Raw genomic sequence first — 10,837 nt, 5'->3', positions numbered from 1 at the left:
CAAACTACAAACTCCTGGAAGGACTCCCAAAGCAGGCAGAAGACCTAGGCTCTAGAGAGCAGCTTCTGCATCTCCCCTATAGGGAGAGGGAGAAGGATGGACCCTAGAGTGGCACAAGAGTAGAAAGGATCCCAGGCCAGGCCACACCTACAACCCTTCCTTAGTTTCCCTCTCTCGCCCCAGTTTGAAGAACTTCGCTGCTCCACTGAATTCCCTCCCTCTAGAGGACGCAGCTCCAAAGCTCAGAAGGAAACTGCTCTCTTCACTTGGTCCTAAGGGAGGGTCATTCACCTGTGCTGGCTTCTTTTTTTTTTTTTAGACAGAGTCTCACTCTGTCACCAGGCTGGAGTACAGTGGTGCGATCTCGGCTCACTGCAACCTCCGCCTCCCGGATTCAAGCGATTCTCCTGCCTCAGCCTCCTGAGTAGCTGAGATTTCAGGCACGTACCACCACACCTGGCTAATTTTTGTATTTTTAGTAGAGATGGGGTTTCACCATGTTGGTCAGGCGGGTCTCGAACTCCCAACCTCAGGTGATCCACCCATCTTGGCCTCCCAAAGTGCTGGGATTACAGGCATGAGCCACCGCACCCAGCCAGCTCTGGCTGGCTTCTTGAAGATCACCATATAGGACCCTGGGTTGAATTGGTCAGCAGAGGGAAACAGGGTATCCAGTCAAGCTCTACAGGAGCAAAGGATGGGCAGTCAGAGCGGCAGGGACAGGGCACTTGGTGGCCTGGTGTGCCTTTGCTGAGTCCCACTCAGAGTCCTCAGAGCCACAGTTCTGCTGATTTCTCTCTCCTGTCTGTTTCATGATCGAGTTAACTTCCCTTCACATTGCCTCCTCTGTGGGCACACAGTATTTCCTGCCCAAATATTATGTCTTTCCGCTCTCTCCCAAAATATGGTGAGGGGTCTCTAGTTTAACCATGAGACACAAAAGAGCCAATGATAACCCATACCTGGGTGGCATTTCATTTATTCATTCTTCAGTTATTTATTGAGCTCCTACCACATGTGATAGTTAAGCAGGCTATTGCAGTAATCCAAATGAGAGGTGATGGAGACTTAAGACTGGTATGGTAGTAGAGGAGGTTATGAGAAGTGATTGGATTCTGAATACAGTTTGAAACATAAAACCAACAGGATTTTCTAATAGGTTGGACATGAGATATGAGAGAAGCAAGAAGAGAAGGCTGCTTCCAAGGTGTTCGTCTAAGCATCTGGAAGGATAGTGTGTTGCCATTTTCTGAGATAGGAAAGACTGCAAGACAAGCAACTAGAAAGAACTAATTCAGCAGACTGACTGTTTGGGCATCATAAATTTGAAGTGCTTGTTTATTTGTGTGTGTGTGTGTGTGTGTGTGTGTGTGTGTGTGTGTGAGACGGAGTCTCACTCTGTTGCCCAAGTTGGAGTGCAGTGGCGCGATCTTGGCTCACTGCAACCTCCACCTCCCAGGTTAAAGTGACTCTCCTGCCTCAGCCTCCCGAGTAGCTGGGATTACAGGCATCTGCCACCATGCCCAGCTAATTTTTGTATTTTTTGTAGAGATGAGGTTTCACCATGTTGGCCAGCCTGGTCTCAAACTCCTGACCTCAAGTGATCGGCCCACCTCAGCCTTCCAAAGTGCTGGGATTACAGGCGTGAGCCACCACGCCCGGCCTTTTATTTATTTTTTTGAGATGGAGTTTTGCTCTTGTTGCCCGGGCTGGAGTGCAATGGCACAGTCTCTTCTCACTGCAACCTCTGCCTCCCAGATTCAAACGATTCTTCTGCCTCCGCCTCCCGAGTAGGTGGAATTACAGGCATGCACCACCACATCCGGCTAATTTTGTATTTTTAGTAGAGACGGAGTTTCTCCATGTTGGTCAGGCTGGTCTCGAACTTCTGACCTCAGGCGATCTGCCTGCCTCGGCCTCCCGAAGTGCTGGGATTACAGGCATGCGCCACCGCGCCCGGCCTATTTATTTTATTTTATTTTTTTTTTGAGACAGGGTCTTGCTCTGTCACCCAGGCTGGAGTGCAGTGGCTCGATCTCGGCTCACTGCAGCCTCTGCCACCCCAGTTTCAAGCTATTCTCCTGCCTCAGCTTCCCCAGTAGCTAGGAATACAGGTGTCAGCCACCACGCCTGGCTAAGTTTTGTATTTTTAGTAGAGACGGGGTTTCACCATGTTGCCCATGCTGGGCTCAAACTCCTGACTTCAAGTCATCCGCCTGCCTTAGCCTCCCAAAGTGCTGGGACTACAGGCGTGACCCACTGCACCTGGCCTGAAGTGCTTGTTTAGATATTCCAGTGTTGCTTTCAATTAGCAGTCCAGATTTCCTGTGAAAGGTCCAGGCTGGAGATAAAAATTTTCAAAATCTTAGCTTACCTTTCTCTGCTCATAAGCAACAAGAAATGTTGAAATTAGAGGGAGCCTGCAAAATTGCAACTAACAAATATCAGGAAGTATAAGGCTAACCAAGAGGGCTGGGGATGGTAGTTCATGCCTGTAATCCCAGCTACTAGGGAGGCCAAGGCAGACGCCTTACTTGTGGCCAGGAGTGCAAGACCAGCCAGGCAACAGAGCAAGATCCCATCTCCACAAAAGAATCAAAAAACAAAAATTAGGGGCCAGGCATGGTGGCTCATGCCTGTAATCCTAGAGAGGCCGAATGGGCAGGTCATTTTAGCTCAAGAGTTGGAGACCAGCCTGGGCAACATGGAAAACACCTCTCTCTGCTGAAAATACAAAAAATTATCCAGGGGCTGGGTATGGTGGCTCATGCCTGTAATCCCAACATTTTGGGAGGCTGAGGTGGGTGGATCACTTGAGATCAGGAGTTCAAGACCAGCCTGGCCAACATGGCGAAACCCCGTCTCTACTAAATATACAAAACTTAGCAGGGTATGGTGGTATGCACCTGTAGTCCCGGCTACTCGAGAGGCTGAGGCAGGATAATTGCTTGAACCCAGGAGGCAGAGATTGCAGTGAACTCCAGCCTGGGAGACATAGCAAGACTCCGTCTCAAAAAAAAGAAAAAGAAAAAGAAAAAGGCAAGCTTGGTGGCATGGGCCTGTAGTCCTGCTACTTGGGAGGCTGAGGCAGGAGGATTGCTTGAGCCTAGGAGGTTGCAGTGAGCTGAGAGGACACCACTAGCACTCCAGCCTGGGCTACAGAGGGAGACTCTGTCTCAAAAAAAAAGAAAATTAGCTGGGTGTGGTGGCACCGCCTGTTAGTCCGTGTTACTGGGGAGGCTGAAACAGGAGGATCATTTGAGCCCAGGAATTCTAGATTACAGTGAGCTATATGATCACACCACTGTACTCCAGCCTAGGCAACAGGGTGAGACCCTGTCTCTAAAAGAAGAAGAAAAAAAAGACTAACCAATATATCTAGAAATGCTGTTGTTGGCATTACCTGACAGAGTAGGCAAGTGACCTCTCTCTCAGAGATTAAATGAGATGACATATGTAAGTATACTTTATAGCTTCTAAGCTCTTGCACAGATGGGCACCATCATTGAAAGTGTCTCTAGTGGTCTTCTGCCCCATAGAGGTTTGCTGTGGGAATAATTTTACCATACTCCCCCAACCCCTACCCCAACCCCAGATGATAATGAAGCAGTGGCCTTTCTAGACCCCTTTCCTCTCCAGGTCAATATCAGTATTAAAAGCCAAATACCCTTTCTTCCTTCAACAAACTTCCTTTCCCCTCTCTTTCTTCATCTCAGTCTCTCTCTCTTCTCCTAGTTACAGAATAAAAGCTGTCATTCATATTAATGAAGACAAACAGCCTGGGGGTGGTGGCTCACGCCTGTAATCCCAGCATTTTGGTAGGCCAAGTTGGGCAGATCACTTGAGGTCAGGAGTTCAAGACCAGCCTGGCCAACAACGTGAAATCTCATCTCTACAAAAAGTAGCCAGGCATGGTGGTGTACATCTGTAATCCCAGCTAATCTGGAGGCTGAGGCAGAAGAATTGCTTGAAGCTGGGAGGCAGATGTTGCAGTCAGCTGAGATCACACCACTGCACTCCAGCCTGGGTGACATAGCAAGACTGCGTCTCAAAAAAGAAAAATAAATTAATGAAGACAGAGGGTAGGAGAAAGAGAGTAGGAAATAGGGCAGGACCATACCGAGCAATAGCTAACTTCAAATTCCTTATTAAGTGTATTTTTTTTGTTTTGAAAAATGTCTTGTTTTGTTTCAATTAAGATGTTTCCTGTCTATGTAATTATTATTTTGTTGCTTATTTTTGTTCATTACTTTTTTTCTCTCTAGATGTCTTTTTTGGCCTTGAGGTTTTTTTTTTTTTTTTTCAAATTAATTTTTTTTTTTTTTTGAGACGGAGTTTCGCTCTTGTTGCCCAATGCTGGAGTGCAGTGGCACGATCTCTGCTCACTGCAGCCCCCACCTCCCAGGTTCAAGCAATTTTGCTGCCTCAGCCTCCCTAGTAGCTGGGATTACAGGCACCTGCCACCATACCCAGGTAATTTTTGTAGTTTTAGTAGAGACGGAGTTTCACCGTGTTGGCCAGGCTGGTCTTGAACAGCTGACCTCAGGTGATCCACCTGCCTTGGCCTCCCAAAGTGCTGGGATTACAGGCGTGAGCCACTGCGGCCAGCCAGATTTAATTTTTTAGAGCAGTTTTAGGTTTACAGCAAAGTTGAGCAGAAAGTTTCCATTTATCCCCTGGCTCCTGCAAATACAAGGCCTCCTCCATTTTCTTTTCTTTTCTTTTTTGAGACAGAGTTTCGCTCTTGTTGCCCAGGCTGGAGTGCAATGGCACCATCTTGGCTCACTGCAACCTCTGCCTCCCGGGTTCAAGCAATTCTCCTGCCTCAGCCTACCAAGTACCTGGGATTACAGGCGTGCACCACCACGCCTGGCTAATTTTTTGTATATTTAGTAGAGACAGGGTTTCACCATGTTGGGCAGGCTGGTCTTGAACTCCTGACCTCAAGTGATCTGCCCACCTCAGCATATTACAGGCTGTGATTACAGACGTGCACCACCACACCTGGCTAATTCTTTGTATTTTTAGTAGAGACAGGGTTTCACCACATTGGCCAGGCTGGTCTTGAACTCCTGACCTCAAGTGATCTGCCCGCCTCAGCAGATTACAGGCGTGAGCTGCCGTGCCAGGCTTGAAATACATCTTGATTGCTTTCTGGATGCTTTTAATGTAATCTTCCTGTCTTTGATCTGCAGTTTCTCTGTGAGGAGTCTAAGTGTGGGTTATTTTTATCATTCTTGAGATTCATTGTGATTTCTGAAACAGGATTTTAGGAGTGCAAAAGGCTTACTGGAAAAAGAAAAAGAAAAAAAAGAAACAGGATATATATTTTTCAGCAATTCTGGAAAATTTCTCAGGCATTTTCCCTTTGAGTGTTACCTGTCCATTTTCTCTATTATTTTCTTCTAGAACCCCAGTTAGCCAAATGTTAGATCTTCTCACTCTATTATGCATGTTTCCTGATATCTCTTTGTTTCTCTGTGTTATATTCTGAATAATTTTGGTAGTTCTTCTAGTTTATTAATTTCTTCTTCAATTATATCTAATTTGTTTGTTAACCTTTTCATTGAGTTTTTTAATTTTTTTTTTTTTTTTTTTTTTGAGACAGAGTCTCGCTCTGTCACCCAGGCTGGAAAGCAGTGGTGCTATCTCAGCTCACTGCAAGCTCCGCCTCCCAGGTTCACACCATTTTCCTGCCTCAGCCTCCCGAGTAGCTGGGACTACAGGTGCCTGCCACCACACCCGGCTAATTTTTTGTATTTTTAGTAGAGACGGGGTTTCACCATGTTAGCCAGGATGGTCTCGATCTCCTGACCTCATGATCTGCCCACCTCGGCCTCCCAAAGTGCTGGGATTACAGGCGTGAGCCACCGTGCCCAGCCGATTAATTGTAAAAAACACATAACATAAAATTTATCATCTTACCCATTTTTAAGTGTACATACAGTTCAAGACTGTTAAGTGTATTCACATTGTTGTGCAACTGATCTCCAGAACTTTTTTTTTTTTGAGACAGGGTCTCACTCTGTCGCCCAGGTTGGAGTGCAGTGATGCTATCATGGCTCACTGCAGTTACCTCCCTGGGCTCAGGTGATCCCCTTACCTCAACCTCCCGAGTAGCTGGGACTGCAGGCTCATACTACCACACCCAGGTAATTTTTGTATTTTTTGTAGAGACAGGGTTTCACCATGTGGCCCAGGCTGGTCTTGTTTCCGGGCTCAAGGGATCTGCCCTCCTCAGCCTTCCAAAGTGCTGTGATTACAGGCATGAGCCACTATGCCCAGCCTCCAGAACTTTTTCATCTTGCAAAACTAAAATGCTATACTCATTAAATAACTCCTCAGTTCCCCCTTCCTCCACCCCATGGCAACTACTGTTCAACTTTCTGTTTCTATAAATTTAATTAATTTAATAAATAAAATTTAACTAAATTTTATTTTAGATAGTGAAATCATGCAATATTTGCCTTTTTGTGACTGGCATATTTCTTTTCTTTCTTTCTTTTTTTTTTTTTTTGAGACAGAGTCTTGCCCTGTTGCCCAGGGTGGAGTGTAGTGGTGTGATCTCGGCTCACTGCAGCCTCTGCCTCCCTGGTTTAAGCGATTCTCCTGCCTCAGCCTCCCGAGTAGCTGGGATTATAGGCACCCGCCACCAAGCCTGGCTATTTTTTTTTTATTTTTATTTTTTTTTAATAGAGACGGGGTTTCACCATGTTGGCCAGGCTGGTCTTGAACTCCTGACCTTGTGATCCACCTGCCTCAGCCTCCCAAAATGCTGGAATTACAGGCGTGAGCCACCATGCCCGGCCATGACTGGCTTATCTCATTTAGCAAAATGACTCAAGATTTACTCATGTTGTAGCATGTGACAGGATTTCCTTCCTTTTTAAGGCTGAATCATATTTCACTGTATGTATATACTACATTTTGTTTATCCATTCTTCCTTTGATGGACACTTGGTTTGCTCCCACCTCTTGGCTATTGTGAATAAGCTTCTATAAACAAGGGTGTGCAAATATTTCTTTGAGGCCCTGCTTCCCATTCTTTTGGATATATATCCAGAAGTGAGATTGCTGGGTCATAGAGTTGTTCTGTTTTTAATTTTTTAAAGGAACTTCCATGCTATTTTCCACAGTGGCTGTGCCATTTTACAGTCCCATCAACAATGCGTAAAGGTTCCAATTTCTCCACATTCTCACCAACACGTGTTATTTTCTGAATTTAGAGCTACATGAGGTTTTTTGGGTCAGAATAAAGGACAATTGCCCTGGAACAACCAACACAGGCTCTTCAACTTTTAAGTTCCTCATTTTTGAAGAAAGTTTCCAACCACCGACTTGTGGTTCATTGGTCATTGGCCAACCTGACATTCTGACTCTTAAGTGGGGAGTTTTATGGATGTGTGTGAATAACTAGTGGGACCATGTTCTCCAGCAGCTTCTGAAGATCAGAGAACAGAGAAACTTAAAGATAGAACTCCAGGCCAGGCGTGGCAGTTCACGCCTTTAATCCCAGCACCTTGGGAGGCCGAGGCGGGTGGATCACCTGAGGTCTGGAGCTCGAGACCAGCCTGGCCAACATGGAGAAAACCTGTCTCTACTAAAAACACAAAAATTAGCCGGGCCTGATGGCTGCCTGTAATCCCAGCTACTCAGGAGGCTGAGGCAGGAGAATGTCTTGAAACTGGAGGCAGAGGTTGCAGTGAGTCAAGATCATACCACTGCACTCCAGCCTGGGCAACAGAGTAAGACTCTGTCTCAAAAAAGAAAGAAAGAAAGAGAGAGGGAGAGGGAGAGGGAAGAAAAAAAGAAAGAAAGAAAGAAAGAAAGAAAGAAAGAAAGAAAGAAAGAAAGAAAGAAAGAAAGAAAGAAAGAAAGAAAGCGAGCGAGAGAAAGAAAGAAAGAAAAAGAAAGAAAGAAAAGAAAGCAGGCAGGCAGGCAGGCAAGGAAGGCAAGGAAGGCAAGGAAGGCAAGGAAGGCAAGGAAAGGCAAGGAAAGGCAAGGAAGGCAAGGAAAGAAAGGAAAGAAAGAAAGAAAGAAAATAGAACTCTGGAGGAAAGTTAGGGGAACCAGGAAGACTCCTGAGCATTAAGAACCACAGCTAATTCTTTGGGCAGATTTCCCTATTTTCTTTACATCCAAGGACAAGAATTCCTCTGCCCTGCCCAGGGAACAGAAGCCTGCTGTGCCCACTCAGAGGAAGATTCTGATCAGAGAACACATCAGCATTTAGAAAATTGCAACTTCTAAGTCATCTTGGGCAGGGTGAATGCTGTGGGCCAAGCTGGAGATGCAGGGCAGTGGGAGTGCAGACTGAAAAAATGCAGACCCCTGGGGCACTACTCATTTCTCAGGCTCTGATCTGCTGTAGTACTAGGGGTTTACTCAGGTCTGTGTCTGCCTCCTTTCTGAATAGGCCAAATAATTTATCCAAACAGCTTTCCTACGGCAGCTCTCCGCTCCACGTGGCCAGATAGGAGTTCCAGACCAGTGTTGTCTCCTGGGACATTGACACAGCAGCCAAGTTTATTGATGCTGGGGCAATCACAATTGGTTGGTTGGTTTGAGATAGGGTCTCACTTTGTCATCCAGACTGGAGTGCAGTGGCACAATCACAGTTCACTACAGCCTCAACCTCCCGGGCTCAAGCGATCCTCCCACCTCAGCCACCTGAGTAGCTGGGACTACAGATGCATGCCACCATGCCCAGCTAATTGTTTGATATTTTGTAGAGACCGGGTGTTGCAATGTACCCAAGCTGGTCGTGAACTCCTGAGCTCGAGCAATCTGCCTGCCTGGGCCTCCCAAAGTGCTAGGAATACAGGTGTGAGCCACCACACCCAACCCACGATTGTAACTGGCTCAGGGGCTGGCATAGCAATGGTGTCTGGCAACTTGATCATTCACTATGCCATCAGCCCATCTCTCAAGGAACAGCTCTTCTATGCCATTCTGGACTTTGCCCTATCTGAGGCCATGGGACTCTTCTGTTTGACAGTCACCTTCCTCATCCTCTTTGCCATGTGAAGCTCCATGGGGGTCACCTACTCACCCTTGCTGCTACAACTCCATAACATTCCTGGTGCTGGCATGTGCTGAGTTTTACCATTAAACACGTTTCTCTTTTTTTTTTTAAAAAAAAAAAAAAAGGCGGGGCAAGGGGGCGACTTTCTTGGTGGAACAAATACTGCACTGGGAATCCAGAACTTAGAACCCTAGTTTTCAGTTCTGGTGCTTTGGCTAAGAGGCTGTGTTATGTTAAGCAAACTTCCTCCAGTAATTTCCTTTTACAGAAGATACAACTAAGTTAACCTGTTTTAGACCCAAGGCTGGGACAACAGCTGTCAGAGTTTTCTGAATGCCCGTTCTGGTTCAGCTATACCTTGCTTTCTTTAGTCATCTTTATAGAGCAGTGAAAAATTCACCTTTATGATAAATGATTGTATTACCATGTGAAACTTTCCACCACAGCAAGCCAGGCAAAAATATGACTGTATATGATCCCTGCTGAAGGGAAGTATGTAGAAATAAAATGACTCTTGTACTGCAGTAGTGAGACTGTTGAGTGGGAATGTGGGCAGGACATGAGGGTTTCTTTTTTTAAAGTTTCTACAACATAGATTGTGCATGGTGTCTCACGCCTGTAATGCTAGCACTGTAGGAGGCCAAGGCAGGAGGATCCCTTGAGCCCAGGAGTTCAAGACCAGCCTACACAACATAGGGAGACCCTGTCTCTTAGAAAAAAAATAATACAGTGGCTCATGCCTGTAATCCCAACACTTTAGGAGGCCAAGGCAGGTGGATCATGAGGTCAAGAGATCGACACCGGCCGGGTGTGGTCACTCACGCTGGTAATCCCAGCACTTTGGGAGGCTGAAGCAGGCGGATCACGAAGTCAGGAGTTCGAGACCAGCCTGGCCAGCATGGTGAAACTCCATCTCTACTAAAAATACAAAAAATTAGCCGGGCATGGTGGTGTACACCTGTAATCCCAGCTATTCGGGAGGCTGAGTCAGGAGAATCATTTGAACCCAGGAGACGGAGGTTGCAGTGAGCTGAGATCACGCCATTGCACTCCAGCCTGAGCGATAGGTGAGACTCTGTCTCAAAAAAAAAAAAAAGAGATTGAGACCATCCTGGCCAACATGGTACACCCTGTCTTTACTAAAAATACAAAAATTAGCTGGGCGTGGTGGCACGTGCCTGGAGTTCCAGCTACTCAGGAGGGTGAGGCAGGAGAACCGCTTGAACCCGGGAGGCAGAGGTTGCAGCGAGCCTAGATCGCACCACTGCACTCCACCCTGGGGACAGAGCAAGACTCCATCTCAAAAAAAAAAAAAAAAAAAAAATATATATATATATATAGTAATAATAATAATAACAAAATTAAATTAAAATTTAAAAGTCACTATAACTTTGTTGTTATGTTTTCTACTTGTTGGTAATATTTAAGCACCTAGGCTGGGTAACATAGCGAAACCCCATCTCTACAAAAAAAAAACAAAAAAACAAAAATTAGCCAGGCATGGTGGCAGCACCTGCAGTACCAGCTGCTCAGGAGGCTGAGGTGGGAGGATTGCATGAGCCCAGGAGGTTGAGGCTGCAGTGACTGTGATCGTGCCATTGGACTTCAGCCTGGGCAACACAGCAAGACAATGTCTCAAAAAAAAAAAAAAGATAACACAAATTTAAAGTGATATAAAAGATATAATAGGCTGGGCATAGTGGCTCACACCTGTAATCCCAGCCCTTTGGGAGGCCAAAGCAGGCATATCACCTGAGGTCAGGAATTCGAGACCAGCCTGGCCAACATGGTGAAACCCCATCTCTACTAAAA

General features: G+C 46.1%; 1 pseudogene; it reads left to right on the top strand.

Annotated features, from left to right (window-relative positions):
- ATP5MC1P3 (ATP synthase membrane subunit c locus 1 pseudogene 3) lies at positions 8,275-9,124 on the top strand (annotated as a pseudogene).

This window comes from Homo sapiens, chromosome 3, assembly GCF_000001405.40.
Source record: "Homo sapiens chromosome 3, GRCh38.p14 Primary Assembly".
Classification (NCBI taxonomy): domain Eukaryota; kingdom Metazoa; phylum Chordata; class Mammalia; order Primates; family Hominidae; genus Homo; species Homo sapiens.
This window is presented reverse-complemented; position numbering and strand designations above follow the sequence as displayed.